Below are 18,673 nucleotides of genomic sequence, written 5' to 3' on the forward strand. Positions count from 1 at the left end.
ATTATGCAGATCTCAGCAATTTCTTCTCATCTTTGCAACTCAAAATGCAAACAATATACAGTCAAGAAATTTTGGAGTGACTGTTATATTGACCTAGTTAAGACATGTATTATACAGAAGTAATACAACCAAGGAATTGCTGGAACTAGTAGGGACACTGGAGATTCTCTAATACAATTCAATCTCTGCTTTCACAGAAGGGAAAACCGAAACTCAGAGAAGGTATGTGACTCATTACGGGGAATTTGTTTGAACATAACCAACAAAATAAAGCCAGTCCGAGGTATAGAAGCAATATACATAATGGCACAAAGCACAGAGTTAGACATCAGGTGGACTTGGGATAGAACTCTAGATCAGCTACTTACAGGATGTGGGCCCAGAGGAAAATATTTAACCTGAGGCTCAGTATTCCCAACTGTGAAATGGGAAGTTGCATTATATGTTATATCAAATACTGGTAAAACTGATAAAGCTACTGGCATTTTGAGGCACTCAATAAATGATACATATAATCTAGATAGATAACCCTTTTTTACAATGGTAATAATTACAACGGTATTTGTACTTTGGTAAATTCCTCTGGGCTTCTATCAAGTGTAAAATAGTAACAATTATACTATCCTGTTTAGTGTTTCAGTAGCTAAAAGAAAGATCTGCTTTGATAAGAAGACATTCCTCAGTTTCTTGAGGAATATAAGATATTAGTTGGTAAAAGGTGTTGTCTGCTCTTTCAACCTTCGTGCGTATATCAGAAGGAAATGTCCTTGAGCCTTTGCTGAAATAGCAGCCCTTTAATGAGAAGTACCTTCTTAATTTTCACTTGTACAGCAAAATCCCAACCTCTCCTTAAAGGTAAAGGCCAAAGTTATGACACAATAAGACTTTATCATTTAGACACAATAAAATACATGTCATAATAAATTTCCTGCTTTCAGTATATTTTTGCTGAATATATCAAATACAAAATGATATGAACGAAAAGTTTCATACCTTTTGTAACTGTTCAAAAATGTATGACAGTGTCCTTGGGATAATGCCTCTGTCACTGTAACGCTCTGCACCCCCTGTGATAGTGAATGTCTTCCCGCTGCCTGTTTGCCCATATGCAAAGATGGTACCATTGTAACCTGCCAGGACACTGCAATAAAGAAATGACACACTTTCAATATCAACATGGCTAACTGCATATGAATTAAATGGCTTGTATTCTAATAACAATCTTATTAAACACTATTAAAAAAACTTTATAGAAATATCTATTAAAAATTTATATATGTGAATATCTAGCTAGAATTTACATTTTTATCTAGGAACAGCAGCACATCAATCCTGTTCTCTAAGAAAGGATGTGCAACACAAATGGAGTTCAGTCATCTTAAATATATTCTTCATCTTTTAGTACACACTGGACTTGAATCAAAGAATATATTGAAAAAAAGTTCTGGGGAAACAATACCTGTAATTTGGCAAACTGTCAACCTGACACCTGGTACCTCACATGGTGTAAACACTCACAATAGTAGTTACTTCCTAGAACAGGAGGAACACACTCTGCTTGCCACCATATACCTTGCAATGTAATTCCCTACTTAATACTAAGCACCAACTGAAAATCCTCTAGGAATTCCCCTCTTCTCTTTTCTTGGAATGACTTTTTGGTAGAAGATGCTAGTCCATATATATTCTTCAGCCCTGCAGAGCGGCCCTTGATTTGATGGTGGTCTTAAGAACCCAAAGGCTGGATCTTCTCAGCCTTTGAAGAGCACCACCTGTAATATAAGCTTTTATAAATATGCATGAAATGATGTAGACTTTCAAAACTGTGTCTTTAATCTATGCTACATGGAACAGTAAACTTTTGTAGCTTTATGTTCGTTTTTTGATACAAGTGGCTCCTTGATCTCTGAGATGTTTTCATTAAACTAGCTACGATGACATCAGCTATTGGTCCCCATGTTGTGGGTGGATTTTTTGATAGATGGCTCCTCTGAGTTCACCCCTCACTGTTCATATTAGAATTCCTCCCTATTAGTTCTGTCAACATCCTATCTACAGTTCTATGTTTCATATGCTTTCATGCCTGTGTGTTGAGTGATCTGTCATTATAAGGGTCTCCTAAAACACACAGGTTTGACTGGAGATTATTCTGAAGTGGTCACTTATGACCACCTTATGCAACTATTAAACTTATGACCACCTTATGCAACTATTAAACTAACAATAATATCTTCAGCAACACGTCAATGCATCTGTTGCTGTGTAGGTAGAAAGTGTTGTTGGTGCTTACAAATTTAATGGACTTAGTACAGGGAATGCGCAAGAAAGTATTGTAACTGTGTGATTCAATGTTCTACTTTTGAGGAGTGTAATCACTTTTCTTCGTGTGTCTTTACATGGAGACAATATACTGTTGAAATTCTCAATTTCTAAGATGTTGGAACTATGACAAAATTAGATATATAATTACAGAATCTTTTTCCTCAACAGAATTTGTTACCAATGAAACATTGATGTCCCATTAGCAATATCATTTGGATATATGATATTTCTTGGCCATAAATGCTGTAGGTAAATGAAGTCTAAAATTTCAAATATCTAATCTTAAACATTTTATTGATTCTTGATAGAAAGAATAGATGTAAAATATTCTAGGCATTATCTGTCTTGAAAAACACCATGGAATACTCTGCAGCCATAAAAATTGATGAGTTCATGTCCTTTGTAGGGACATGGATGAAGCTGGAAACCATCATTCTCAGCAAACTATCGCAAGGGCAAAAAACTAAACACCACATGTCCTCACTCATAGGTGGGAATTGAACATGAGAACACATGGACACAGGAAGGGGAACATCACACACCGGGGACTGTTGTGAGGTGGGGGGACGGGGGAGGGATAGCATTAGGAGATATACCTAATGTTAAATAACGAGTTAATGGGTGCAGCACACCAACATGGCACATGTATACAAATGTAACTAACCTGCACGTTGTGCACATGTACCCTAAAACTTAAAGTATAATATATATAAAAAAAAGCCACTGCCAAGGAAACAAAAAAAAAAGGAAAAAACTACAGAGCACAAATTAATATTTTCATTTTGATATAGATATAGACTACGAAAAGTGAGTAGGTAGTACACTACGTTGGCATCTGCTAAGTGTTATGTCTACTTTTTTATGCTAAAATCTTCTTTCTCACTGCCAGTTGTCCTAGTATGTCTGTCTTTAATATGTGCTCCCCCTACCCCCATCTACTGTGGGATGGAAAACCAGATGACATAGCTTCATAGAACACTGTAAAATAAAAAGGGTAAGGCTTGACCTATATATACTCCCATGGCTATTTATTTATTACGTTGCTACAATTAAACGTTAAATAAGGAAATGTAATCAGGCAAAATTTGTCTCCAGTCCCTTCTGTAGAGCCTCCATTCCAACTCAGTCTTGTAACCACTCTTCAATGGACACTAGGCCTTTTCATGTGCTTCTGGTCTCATCTGTCCTAAGGAAAAATACTAGTTAAAAATAAAGAAAGAGAAATAGTGGTGTAATGAACTTTGAAAATCCATTACTCCACAAGAACAATAATACCAGTGGCAAAAATTGTCAAAATCAACTTTTTCAGAACTCTGGAAATTATCCAAAGGCTCACACCAATCCAAGAAGTGTTTATGTAAGACAAACAGCTAAACTCAGTAGGAACCATGAGCTTTGTGGTATTTTAACTTCAACATTCCCAGCACCTCTCCCTAGCTCCATGGTAGCCTTCAAAAACAACAGCCTTGAAACATTGGAGCTGTGAAATCCAGCAGCCTAGCAACCACTGTAGGGGGCAGTATGGATTTGGGGCTCCTCAAAATGCCCCATCCTCAAAGAGCTGCCACTCTCTGACTCGTCTGGGAGCTCTCTGGAAAAGCTCCACTCATGGTACTTGTCTTTGTTAGACCTGATTCAGAGTTCACTCAGTGTGAGCAGCCCTGTCCTCGGGGTGTTTGTTGAAAAAAAATCAGTGGCAAGTGTTTAACATCACAGCTGGCAAAGCTGCAATGCCAGTGAAGTAAACAAGAACGTAACCAAAAACTTAGAAAAACCTGAGAAATGTGTATAAGGGGTTTCAAAAAACTCTAATGTATTCCTGGGAATCGGGAAGGCCACACACATGTGCAGGACTATATGTATGCCCAGAAAAGACCTGAGAAGGGCATTATAACTCACCTCTGGCTGGCCTTTAGACTGCACAAACAGAAAGTGAGAAGAAAGACAGTGTTACAAACTTCCTCAGCATTGAAGGTATGCCCCAACAAACATGTAGGGACCCTTGTATGTAGGCTGGGAGATGGAGGAGTTCAAGGAATTTAAGGAAATTTATTTCATTATCTTGCCTAAATTTACTGGCTAGTTTGTTGACGATAAATTTGCTCAGTTTTTGTTTATCTTGGAATGTCTTAATTTCTTCTTCATTTTTGAGAATAATATTGCCAGACATAGAAGTCTCTATTTGCACATGACATAATCTTGTATATAGAAAATACTAAGGAATTTACTATAAAATTATGGGAAGTAAGAAACAAGTTCAGCAGGATTGTAGGGTACAAGTCTTAACACTGTGTAGATGGCAATATTCCCTAAACTGATCTACATTTGTGCGATTTCTATCAAAATTCAAGCTGGCTTATTTGCAAAAATTGACAATATTCTTATAAAATTTATACAGAAAGTCAAGGGACACAGAATAGCTAAAACAATCTTGAAAAGAAAGAACAAAGGTAGATGACTCACACATCCCTATTTCAAAACCTACTACAAAGCTAGAATAATTAAGACAGAGGGATACTGGCATAAGGCCATACATATGGATCAATAAAATAAAATTAAGAATCCAGAAATAGACCCTTATATTTATGATCAGTTGATTTTCAACAAGGGTGCCAACACTATTCAATGGAGGAAAGAATGGTCTTTTTAACAAATGATCCTTGGACAACTGGATATCCACATGAAAAAGAATAAAGCTGGACCTCTACCTCAGGCCATGTACAAAAATTAACTCAAAACGAATCACAGACCTAATGTAAGAGATAAAACTTAAAAGAAAATCTTGCAAGAAAACTTAGGAGTAAATCTTCATGAGCTAAATTAGGCAATGTTTTTTAGATATGACATCAAAAGCACAAAGAGCCAAAGGAAAAAAATAAGCTGCACTTCATCAAAATTAAAAATTTTGTGTTTCAAAAGACACAATCAAGTAAGTGAAAAGACAACACAATGGAGATAATGTATGCAAATCATATCTATCTGGCAAGGGACTTGTCATCATATCCATAATCCATAACATACAAAGAAATCTTACAACTCAATAATAAGAAGACAAACAATCTAATTAAAAAGCGGGCAACAGATTCGAATAGACATTTCTCTAAAAAGAAATGCAAATGGCCAATAACATATAAAAAGATGCTCAACATAATTGGTCATTAGGGAAATGCAAGTCAAAATCACAATAAGATGCAATTTCACACCCACTAGTATGGCTAAAACAAAAAAAAAAAGAGACAATGAGAAGTGCTGGTGACAATGTGGACAAATTGGAACCTTCATACATTGTTGCTGGAAATGTAAAATGGTACATTTTGAGGTCTTAACAGTTCCTCAAAATGTAAACCTAGTATTGCCATATGACCCGGCTAGGTGTATACACAGCAGTATTAAAAACATGTGTCCACACAAAAATTTGTAGTGAATGTTCACAACAGCATTATTCATTATTTAGCCAAAAAGTGGAAACAACACAAAGTGACCGTCAGCTGATGAGTGGATAAACAAGATGTACTGTATCCATTCCATGGGATATTATTTGGCAAGGAGAAGGCAGTACAGATACATGCTACAATAAGGATAAAACTTGAAAACACATTAAATTTTAAAAAGCCAGTCAAAAAAGATGATATATTGTGATTCTATTTCTAGAAAATGTTCAGGATAAGAAAATTCCATAGAGATAGAAAGTAGGTTAGTGTTAGACAGGGGCTAGAAGGAAGGGAAAATGGAGAGTGACTGCTAATGGCTATGGTACAGAGCTTCTTTTTGGCGGTAATGAAAAGGTTTCAAAATTAAATAATGGTGATTGATGGTGGCACATTTGTACTAAAAACAACTAAATTGCATGCTTTAAAGAGTAAATGTTTTAGTATTTGAATTACATCTCAACAAAGCTGTTGTAACAATAAAATAGTAAAGAAGAGTCTATACTCACTTGCTAATAACCAGATGTGTATACTATCTTTTCAGTAGTATTTTTTAAAGACAGAGAGAAGGGTAATTAATAAAAGGAATGAAAAGCTAATGATACATTTCAGCAATGAAGAGTGAGATAAACATTTTTGTTCAGAAGTATTTCTGAACTTCCTAAAATCAACAATGCAGGCTGCTGCTTAATTCATCTCAGCTAGAGACAGTCCTAATATGTAAATAAATCAACCCTTTATAAACCCAGAGTTTGATGATCAGAGGAAATTTCCATTGTAGAAATTCTCTCCTTCCTTTTGCAAAATGCACTTTTCCTAGAAGTTTAAATTAGGAAGCTAAGGTAGTTTGTCATTTCTTATCTTTTAATATTTGCATGAATTAAACAAAAATAAAGCCTCAACCCTTTTGGAGATTATAAACTGAAGTGTCACTCCAGACACAACACATTTACATGCTAGAAAAAAATACAAGTCATTTTAAAGTTTAGTTTTTCCATTTGTATTACTCTTTGTTTAACTAGGCTCCAAGTAGAAGATTGTCTGGAGGATCTGCACAAAGTGAGACTTCATTTTGTTTACCTCCGGATGCAAAGGCTTTAAGAACCTCAAGATACAGCCTTGCATTCCAGGGATGAAGCCAACTTGATCATGGTGGATAAGCTTTTTGATGTGCTGCTGGATTCGGTTTGCCAGTATTTTATTGAGGATTTTTGCATCGATGTTCATCAGGGATATTGGTCTAAAATTCTCTTTTTTTGTTGTGTCTCTGCCAGGCTTTGGTATCAGGATGATGCTGGCCTCATAAAATGAGTTAGGGAGGATTCCCTCTTTTTCTATTGATTGGAATAGTTTCAGAAGGAATGGTACCAGCTCCTGGATTAAGAAAATGTGGCACATATATACCATGGAATACTATGCGGCCATAAAAAATGATGAGTTCATGTCCTTTGTAGGGACACGGATGAAGCTGGAAACCATCATTCTCAGCAAACTATCGCAAGGACAAAAAACCAAACACCACATGTCCTCACTCATAGGTGGGAATTGAACAATGAGAACACTTGGACACAGGGTGGGGAACATCACACACCGGGGCCTGTTGTTGGGTGGGGGCAGGGGGGAGGGATAGCATTAGGAGATATACCTAATGTAAATGATGAGTTAATGGGTGCAGCACACCAACATGGCACATGTATACATATGTAACAAACCTGCATGTTGTGCACATGTACCCTAGAACTTAACGTATAAGAAAAATATATATATATATAAAATAAATAAATAAAGATGAGAAAATGGAGCCTCAGAGAGGTAAAAAAAAAGAATCTCAAGATACAATGTCTAAATGAAAGTAATCAACAACAAATCATTATTGTAGTAATAATTTAGTTCACTAAACCAAAAAACAAGACATGAATTATAGTCCCTCAAAGAGACAGCATAGTTGAAAAAAAAAGAAACAAAATATAGTAATAGGATCATGGATTTTATAATTGATGTCAGCAGAGGTCTTCTAACTACATTTTGTCCACCCAAAGAATTCCCTCCAAGGTATTTCTGAAAAACAGTTACACAAAGTATGCTTAGACAGGACCAGGTTGGACTTAGAGAACTGGGCAGGGCTGATTTCATTTTTGAGAGGGGAGGGGCAGGTGAAGCAGCACCTTAAAAGTTTAGTCTTAGTTTAATAGTTAAGTTTAACAGTTTAGCTTTAGAAAAATTAAAAATCAAAGGCAAATACATTTTATATGTATTTAAAAACAGTTGCTAGAAGCAAAACGTACTAGTTCACTCAGAAAACACAAACCAAACAATTGGTACTAAGGACAAATTTTTTAAGCTAATAGAAATACGCTATATACATGTTTAATCTGACAAAACATCTTTGCATAAATCAACACAACTAATTTGGAACAAATGAAAATTAAGCTCCCCTATTTTAAATACACAGTTCCGCCTTATCCATACTTGCCTTTCACACAGTTCTGAGATCCCGAGTAAGTGAAACTCAGTTATTTTGAAATCCCCAGAGCAGTTAACTTCTGTCTACTGTAACCCTCTTTCTAGAATAAAGTCTCTCAATCCCTCATAAGCAGTCCCAAGGGGCAACTGGATCTTTTATAGAGAAATACGGTAAATGACTCCTAACTGTTTCACTTTCAGAATATCTCACAGTGCATAAATTCAGTAGCTTAAATTTTAGAGATTTCAACCAAAAACAATAGCAATTCATAATTAGCACAATTAACACAATTCAGTTTTGCCATATATAAAAATAATCTTCTCATTGGTTAAGCCAAATGAACATGGAACTTGTAAAATTTCCAGCAAGATTTTGATCACGGGGCATTTCCTGTGCTGCAAAGAAGGGAGAAAAAAATGTGAGGAGGCCGACACTTCTGGGGAATTTAAGAGAATAGTAGACTTTGAGAGGTCTGTTTTTCTGCCTAGCAAGCTTTCTTAGTCCCTCTTATGGTAATAGGCTCCCAGTCTCCTTCTACAAGCTCAAGAGGGGCAGGCAGGTGTATGGACCCCATGACTCAGGCCTGGCCAGTCATACCACTTGATCCCATCTTGGTTCCTCCAACCACTGTCCCACCTGTAACAGCTATTATATCATTACAAGAAGCTGGTGACATGACTCAAGCCGAGCAAAAAAGAGTGCCTTTGTGTCTCCTGTATAGATTTTGAGAAGAAAATAAGTTTTATTTTTACTGGGGTCCCTACTAGAGGCCGTATCCCCTGCCCTTCAGCACAAGGAAGCAGGGCCAAGTAAAGTTCAGATGGGTGAAGGATTATGGCTATGTCAGGAACCTAGGTCAAACAGTGAAGGCCCTGATTTTTTTTTTTTTTTTTTGAGACAGAGTCTCCCTCTGTCACCCAGGCTGGAGTGCAATGGTGCGATCTCAGCTCACTGCAACCTCCGCCTCCCGGGTTCAGTTCAAGTGATTCTCCTGCCTCAGTTCCCTGGGTAGCTGGGATTACAGGCACCCGCCATTATGCCCAGCTAATTTTGGTATTTTTGTAGAGACGGGGTTTCACCATGTTGGCCAGGCTGGTCTTGAACTCCTGAACTCAGGTGATCCACCCACCTCAACCTCTCAAAGTGCTGGGATTACAGGCATGAGCCACCAAGCCCAGCTAATGTTTTTTAACTTTCTTTTTTTTTTTTTTGAGACAGAGTCTTACTCTGTCCACCAGGCTGGAGTGCAGTGGCATGATCTTGGCTCACTGCAAACTCTGCCTCCCGGGTTCAAGCGATTCTCCTGCCTCAGCCTCCCGAGTAGCTGGGACTACAGGCAACTGCCACCATGCCTGGCTAATTTTTGTATTTTTAGTAGAGACGGGGGGCGGGCGGGGGGGGGTGCCTCACCATGTTGGCCAGGCTGGTCTCGAACTCCTGACCTCAGGTGATCCACCCACCTTGGCCTCCCAAAGTGTTGGGATTATAGGCATGAGCCACCATGTCCAGCCAAGGGCCTTGATTTTTATATCACTCCCTTCAGTTCTTCTTTGAGCTAAACCAGTTATGTGAGACAAGAAATCCTCTCTGCTTTGAGTTGGAATTCAGTTACATGCAACCAAGAGAATCATAATTATTGCAAAGTTTCCAGAGTGATCTGAAAGACACCTCTTAGTCCTTGATTTACAGCAAGGATCTCAAGCTGGCAGTAAAACTTGCCTACAGGAATGCTTAAACTTAACTAAATTTGAATGCCTTTTTGCGAGACATGTTCTTCAGTTTGCTGTGGTCCCCAACATTCCCTAACATCTTAGGATCAACTGCTTCCTAAAGGTATGTTACTTGCCTAGACTTGAAAGCAGGGCTGCATCACTGCATAATCACAGTGCAGTCCATGCGAATGCCGGTGCCCCCTCACCTTTGTGCAGTGCCTAGCCATTTGTGTAGGCCACTGTGAAGCATGTCCCCTGGAGGTGTACAATATAGAAGTCCTGCGTAAAGGCATGTGAGTTTAGTTCCCCTAGTTTAGATACTGTCCTTTCTAAAAGCATGTTTTGGCCCAGGGCAGTGGCTTATGCCTGTAATCCTAGCACAGGAGGCAGATGGATTGCTTCAGCCCAGGAGTTTGAGACCAGCCTGGTCAACATAGCAAGACCCTGTCTCTGCCAAAAAAAAAAAAAAAAATTAGTTGGGTGTGTGGTGTGCTCCTGGAGTCCTAGCTACTCGAGAGGCTAAGGTGGGAGGATCACTTGATCCCAGGACTTCAAGGTTACTGTGAGCTATGATTGGGTGACAAGAAGACCCTGTCTCTAAATAAATAAGTAAATAAATAAAATAAGTCATAAAAGTAAAAATAAAATAAAAGCATGTTCTGGCAACATCATTCTAAGATCTCTTACAGCTTCAGTTCTATGATATATTGATCTGGTTATAAATCCTGATAGAGAAATAAAGTAGGTTACATGGCTAGCCTTCGTCAACCTAAACCAAATCATCAATCATTTTGGAAAGGAATATCCAAGGCCAAGAATATCTAGATTAGAAATAGTTACCCCACACAACCAAAATTGTTTTGTGTGAGAAAAATGAAACTGCAAACATGGATTAACTGGTAATTTATACATCTGCGGGCATACTGGTTATTAAACTAGAGTCACAAAGAAAGAGACCCACAGGCAAAATATAGCTAGCAGAGCATTTGTTTGGTCAACACTGTCTTTTTTAAAAAATTCAGTCTGAGTGGTCTTAGTCCCCAATTTAAGCACAGATACCACCACTCCATCTGGCCCTCACTAGTTTACTTCAGATTAATTGTTTGCCTTCCATGGAATGTTGAGTTTTGCAACTGCTATAAAGTGACTCAGATAAATGGTAAGAGTAACACTCTGATTAAAGAAAGAAAGAAAGAAAGAAAGAAAGAAAGAAAGAAAGAAAGAAAGAAAGAAAAGAAACTAAACTAAATATCAGCATCTTCCAGGTTTTGAAATGTCGTAAGCAATCCTCTCACACCATTAACCACCCAAGAAACCAAATGGCTATCCCACCCATCATTGTTCACATTTCGTGTGTGATAGGAAAACAAGAATGTTGGGTGCTTTCTTCTAAAACAGTCACTTTGGCACAATCAGGACTCCCACTCTTGGATATCTCACAAAACAGGATCAGCAGCTGCCTGTCTTGAATGATTTGCAAATTCTCCTCCTTGGATACAGGGGCTAAGTAAGGGGATCTCTTGAGATCCTTCCCAGTTCTATGATTCTCAGGGCTTTGTTCACAGTCTTGTCCCAACTACTTCAAACCAAACTTTGCAAGAAGCAAACACATCATGGGGCACCTAATCCAAACAGCCCCTCTTAAAGGATCTTCGAGGTCTTAAGCACACTAAACAGCTTCACATCCATAAGTTCATGGACCAAATCCAGGCCAGAGTGCTCTCTAAATGAGGCTGTTTATTATTTCCCAAGTTTCTGAAGAAACCGTTTTGTGTTAGTATTAATAATAAGCAGCTTAAGTCTGGTAAAAGAACAGAAATGCATGAAACTTTAATGAAGAAAATGACCCCTTCTGAACATAATCCAGTTCTAAATGTTTCAGTTTGAAGTCCAGCATACAGTATTGAAAAGTGAGGGCTGCATTTTTATCTTATTTACATTATAAAAAGTATATATTTACATTATATTATACATTATTTTATCTTATTTACATTATCTTATTTACATAATTTATAATTACATTATAAAAAATGCATTTACTGTAGCATTTCTGACCAATATTTTTCCTATGATCCTTCAGAATAAACACTTAGATTAATTAAATATATAATCATTTTCAGATAACCATCTAAGGAGGCAACTAAAATGAAACCACAAAATTTTATACAACAATGTGGGAGAAATTCATTGTCTATAGAAATTTATTAGGACAGAATCGTGCATAAAATCTGAACTGGTTACTTTGGGTTTCTTTTATAGGGATACAAAAGAAAATAGAAAATACTTTTTCCTAAAATCCTGAGTTCTCTGTCAGTAAATTGATCAATCACATTTCTTAAGCATTCATGATATTATATGAGAAGCCTGGTACTGTGTGCTTTGTGAATTTACAGGAAAAAAAAAATTCTTCTCAAGAAATTTGCAGTGCAAGGTAAAGCAAGATAACCACCAAGATAAGCATCTTTAAATATCTGAGCATGTGCACATATTCACCTGTATAACCTTCTAATTTACACATCAATCTATAATTTTTAAAAACCCAAAGGGCTAATTTATAAATGTGTTTGGAGAGATAGAAAGCATTTAAAGAAAGTCTTCTACAAAAATTTATAATTAGAGAGGCCAAGTGAGAAAACTGTGTTTTCCTAGAGACTCCATCCTTTTCCTTGCCAAGTGTAAAGTAAATCGAGCTTCTGGGTCCTCCAGCCATCTGAATAGGTGGAAACAGAGATCCGAGAATCTAGGTGAAGAAGTAGGGGAGACAGGCATAGAAATGAAAAGACAAAGGGCCTATCTTCAGGGGAGGATCTGTCTGAGAAGTTTGGAGAGAGACTGGAAAGCGGAAAGTTGAGCACTGCAGGATGGCGGGGGAGGGTAGCAGGTGGCTGCCGTCAGTGTGGTGGGTGCTGAGAGAAGCAGCAGTGGAGGAAAATGCGTTTCCCTAACTCCTATAATTCCTGAGAGCCCACATACAATCTGACCTTTGAGTACTTCCAAAAGTGACACTGTACACTGACTGGACCACATGGAGCTCTAGTTTAGATTTAAGTTATGAGCCTTTTTCTCCATACTTCTAGTCTCAAGATTACTTGCCAAATAAGACCTTATTTGACTTCAATTTTGTGTAAAATGGAAGACATTTTGCACATTTTTGGGAAAATTCAAACACACTTTGATTTCAATGGATAATAATCAAGGAGGAAAATTGCCCTTTGGCATAGAAAGGTAAATAAAAATACATCTCATGAAGCTGCTAATAATCATCATGGCTTTATTTGCATCATGGATACACAACGATCTAATGAGATTTAGGAGCCAGAGTTTGAAGCAGAAAGGTGTGGCTTGATTGAGATCACTCATAAAGGGATCAGGAAAAAGGAACAGAAAAGACTGTTCAGCTAAGTAATGTCAAACTACCCTGCAGGCCATAGACAATTATGGCCTATGGAACTATGTATGGCCTGTGAACTAGAGGGGCATGGCAGCAGAGATGATGAAATCAGTCTTGGCTGGGCAAAAATCACACGAGGAGTCTTCTAGGGGCACACTATGAGAAGAGATATAGGGAAAATAGAAGGGAATAGTGTTCACAAAATTCCGTGAGACACATATCCTACTATTAGCTTATGGATAGTAGAGATACAGCATCATCTTACTAACTGCAATGAACAATACAGTCTCAATAAACTAAAAAATCTTTAGTCTTGCCAGGTACAGTGGCTCATGCCTGTAATCCCAGCACTTTGGGAGGCCAAGCAGGTGGATTACCTAAGGTCGGGAGTTCAAGACCAGCCTGACCAACACGGTGAAACCCCGTCTCTACTAAAAATACAAATTAGCCGGGCGTGGTGGCGTATGCCTGTAATCCCAGCTACTCAGGAGGCTGAGGCAGGAAAATCGCTTGAACCTGGGAGGTGGAGGTTGCAGTGAGCTGAGATCGCACCATTGTACTCCAGCCTGGGCAACAGGAGTGAAACTCCATCTCAAAAAAAAAAAACAAAACAAAACAAACAAAGAAAAACAAACAAAAAAACTTTAGTCTTAAAGCAATCACCATTTATATATTCAAATTTTTCTGTAGCACTTCAAACTCAGTCTGATCAAAACTGAACTTATGTTTTTTTTCTTTTAGACATATTCTTCCTCTTTCATTCTCTAGGCAATCTATTCTGAGACTTCTATTATCTCCCATTTTAGAGATGAGAAAATTTAGCCTTAGAGAAGTTAACTATATCAAGGTCACACTTAGTAAGTGATAAGAGTAATACCAAAGTCTATTTGATTCTAAATATAATATTCTTTCTACTACCTAAGTTATAAAACAAACCTACCATCTTTTTATAAAGCTAATAATAATCAGATATGTTTGGTAGAATAATATCCAGTTAAACAGTTGTCTCAAAGTTGCTCTCCACAGAAGTTAGTAGGAAAAAATAACTTAAAAGTCTTAGAGATTAAGTATACTGGCTTCATGTTTTTAAAATGCGAGGGCTAATCAGAATAAACAGATTAAGATCAATATAACGGTTTAAGTTATCTACAATTAAATTACATATTCCACTACTTTTCATTTGTTCTCATCTTAAAACCACACCTTTGTTGCTGACACAGCCTGTAGCAAGCATCTTACAGGTAGGAATGCAGTGCAGATTTGCAATACTTTCCTCTGGAGTACCTTGATTTTCATTAATTACATAGCACAATCTTGCAAAGTACTGTTTTATAACACCACTATCTAGGATGGGTAAAAACAGGAAAGAAAATTAACTACAACAAAAAATCTGTATCACCATTCAGAGAGAAGCAAAGGATGTGACTTTATCATCAACATGTTTACAATAGGATTAAAAGAATAGAAAACAGAAAAGAATTACTAATCTTTTTAAGGTTTTCCTCCTAAAGGCAGATATGAAAGGAGAAAGTACCAGAGACTTGGGGCACAGCCTCTAGGAAAGTCAGAAGATTCAGAGGAGAGGAAAGAATAATGCAGATACTTTCCTCAATTTCCTTTGATGCCTGACATCTAAAAACTCTTTTCAATTCCCCATCTGGAACCCAAGGACCAAAAAGGGATTGCAACTTGTAATGAGTGACTAAATATATTTTACACAAAAGGTAAGGTCAAGCTGCTGGAAGCCTCTTAAAATCTAAAGGAGAGGGAGAGGGCAGAAGTGCTCCCCACCACTTCTCCCTAACTTCAGTTAGCTGACTGTTAAAGAGGAACAACAGAGGGCTTTGTGAGGCTGAAAAAAATCCCAACTCTGTAGGATGCCGGTGGGGGGTAGTTTCATAGACTTCTCTGGGCATAAAGCTGGGAATGTGGTCCTCTGAAGGCACAGGAAACAGAATAACTCTTGAGTATAGAGCAGAATATACCAGAACTAAGAAGGCAGGCCACTGAAAGCAGTTTCCCGTGTCCTTTTAAATAGTAGAAATTAGTTCATTGGTATGGCCCATTATTAGGACCTTGTTGTTTTCACCACAGCACTATAGGACGTGGGGGCCTATGTAATGGCATTAACAAGCTACTCTTTACAAAGATGACAAGAGGAAAGAGTCCGATAGTAACGAGAGGCTAATAACATTTAATGTGATTGAGATGAACAGGTGGGGAAGACAGTCAGTCATATTTACTGGTATCTACAGCAAGGAGGACAAGACACCAGGGTGGTGGGGGACAAACTGTTTCTTTGAAGATAAAATGGAGGTCATCATAAAGCAAATTCCCCAGCTCCTCTCTCCACTCTCAGCCTCCACCCCCACAAACAGAAGTTTATCTCTCTTAGTCTCATCTATTCCTCCTCCTCTCTGGTCATAGAGATTGGCCGTCCTCCTATCTAAAGCTAAACTCTTCCAGCTGAATTCTAGATTGTACCCATTCTTTCCTGTCTGTCAGGGACCTTTCTCCATCAATTAACTCCTCTCCTGTATTTTCTACTTCTCCCTTCATATTAATTGCTCCTCCTTAGAAAATAAACAGGCTCAAGTTTCTCCCATTACTGAAAATACCTTTACTTATTTTTGATTATACAAGTAATTCATAAATGCATGAATTAACAAATGCTTGTTAAAAATATTTACATTTAAAGTCTCCTTTGAATATAATTCTCCTCCTCATCCTCCAACTTTCACCATAGTTATCGCTGTTAGTTATCCCTTTTGTATGCATACTTCCAGACATTTTACATATAGCACAGCTTCATGTCTTTTTACCTTTTTAAATAATTGGCTTAATATTCTACGTATTCCTGCGCAATTTGTTCACTCAACAATGTCTCTCACATCAGTAGATCCACCTAATTTTTTATACTCTAAGTCTGTATAGTATTTCACAGTATAAATGTATCGTTTATTTAACCAATTCTCTGCTGATGAACAACTGGATCCTTTCCAATTACTTGCCATTACAAACAGTGCTGGAAGGAACAACAGTCTTTACCATTTCTCTATAGTAGGTATACATTCAGTTTTGATAGATACTGACAATGATGTCCTCTAAAGTGGCCTTGCCAATGTATATTCAGACCTGTAACAGAAGAGTTCCTATTTCCTCACTTGCTTTTGATATTATCAAATTTTTATTTTGCCAATTTGATGAAAGAGATATTTCTTATTTTAAATTTTCTTTTATCTGATTGTAATGTGATCAAACATTTTCATATTCATATTTTATATTCACGTTAAGCATACTTTTATACGTTTTTTGACCAATTATATTTCCTCTTTAGGGAACTGCCTGTTAATGTCCTTTGACTACTTTTGTAGTAGATTTTGAGTCTCTTTCTTATTCTTTGGGAGGAGTTATTTCCATTTAATCATATTAATCCTCTGCTTATGTTGCATATTTTCTCCCAGATAGTAGCTTACCTTTTAATACTGCTTATAGTGGCCTTTGTTGTCCAAAAATTTTATTTTAATTAAGTCAAATTTTTTTCTTCATTTTTTTTGCATTTCATGTCTTCACAGGGCCTTCAGTTCTCCAACATGATAAATGTGTTTTCTGCATTTCCCTCTATTTATTGTTTTCTTAATTATTTAACTTACATTTTTTAGTAACATGAGTTAGAATCTAACTTTGTTTTTGCTCAGTTAATAACTAATTTCTCCAGTACCATTTATTAAATGATCCATTATTCCCTGATACATTTTAAATGCCACTTATATCATTAACTAAGTTCTCATATATACATGGGTCTATTTCTGAGCTAACCATTTTATCTCAACAATTTATTTGTTTATTGTCAATAAACAAACTGACAATACAACACTATTTTACTTATCATAGATTTATAATACAGTCTGATATCTGCCAAGCAAGTCTACCATCTTTGTTCTTTTCCAAAATTATCTTGACTATTCTTGTACATGTTCCTTTCCTTGTGAATTTTAAAATCAGTTTTGTCAAGTCTCAGTTGCTCCTAATTTATTTGACCACAGAAGACATTTTTCAAAGATCAATGTTCAAAAGAACACACTTCAGTGATACACTGACTTAGGCTGTATCTGGCCCAAGGATTTACTTTGTTTGATCAATATAGTGTTGACCCATTCATGTTTTTTAAAATGTTTGACACTCATCTGAAAGCCAAAAGTAAAGAATAAATGTGCAACAGGGTGTGTGTATGTGTGTGATAGGGTGTCTCTGTCTTCCCAAATGGCAACAACTGGCTGAGGCCAAGTGGTGACTACTCCCTTCATTTACATGGGCTCTAAGTCCAAGTTCTCCAGTTTCTGAAATGGGCCCATTTCGATTATGTGTGCTACCTACCTATACTCTAGACTGCCTTTGCCTCTGAGAACACTGCATTATTGTAATACCATTCTAAATAGTTTCATGTCCCTCAAATTCATCCTCTGTCTACACTGCCACCAGAATGACTTTTCTATACACATATAACTGGGCCTCCACTATGATTTAAATTATTTGGCAACTTCCAATTCCTTTTAGGATAAGATCCAATTTTTTCTGTATGCCACATGAGGCTTTCCATAACCTGGAATATTTCTCACATGTCATTTCCCATGATTTCCACATTATCCTTTCTCTAGCTGTTTAACCTGTCTACAGTACCCAAAAGATTTCCCACACATTCATTCATATTTCAATTTAAGTTGTTCTTCCTGTGTAGAAGGCCAAGTCATCTACATCACAAACCTCAGCCTCCATTCTTCTGCCCCAACCAAATTTCTTTTGTCCTCACATTCATTTGCATGGAGAACTCCTATATTTCCACATTTCAGACTCAATTCCATTGCTACCTGCTTTTTAAAGCTCTTTCTGACCACTTGCCCCATAACTCTCACCTTCCTAAGAGAGAATGGAGGCTCTTCTTCTATGTCCCTCTTCCACTCATCATACCTTTCACTAATTTTCTTGTCTATTTGACTCATAAGATTGTGTTCTTTGGCCGGGCATGGTGGCTCACGCCTATAATCCCAACACTTTGGGAGGCTGAGGTGGGTGGATCACCTGAGGTCAGGAGTTTGAGACCAGCCTGACCAACATGGAGAAACCCCGTCTCTACTAAAAATACAAAAAAATTTGCCAGGCCTGGTGGTGCGTGCCTGTAATCCCAGCTACTCGGGAGGCTGAGGTAGGAGAATCGCTTGAACCCTGGAGGCGGAGGTTGCAGTGAGCAGAGATAGCACCAGTGCACTCCAGCCTGGGCAACAAGAGCGAAACTCCATCTCAAAAAAAAAAGAAAAAAGAAAAAAAAAAAGGTTTTATTCTTCTTGCAGAGAAATTC

The 18,673-nt window shown here is 37.5% G+C and overlaps 1 protein-coding gene across 9 annotated transcripts in view; it reads right to left on the reverse strand.

The window, feature by feature from the left end:
* The window catches only part of KIF6 (kinesin family member 6), a 395,419-nt gene that overhangs the window by 308,627 nt on the left and 68,119 nt on the right, over nt 1-18,673 (reverse strand). For all 9 annotated transcript variants that reach the window (XR_001743238.2, NM_001289020.3, NM_145027.6 and 6 more), the window contains exon 4: nt 994-1,141. Coding sequence is in view for 8 of the 9 variants with exons in the window: in NM_001289020.3 (NP_001275949.1) it covers nt 994-1,141 (148 nt within the window). In the remaining variant the exon portion in view is untranslated. The remainder of the gene's footprint in view (nt 1-993; nt 1,142-18,673) is intronic.

This window comes from Homo sapiens, chromosome 6 (genome assembly GCF_000001405.40).
Source record: "Homo sapiens chromosome 6, GRCh38.p14 Primary Assembly".
Taxonomy (NCBI): Eukaryota; Metazoa; Chordata; class Mammalia; order Primates; family Hominidae; genus Homo; species Homo sapiens.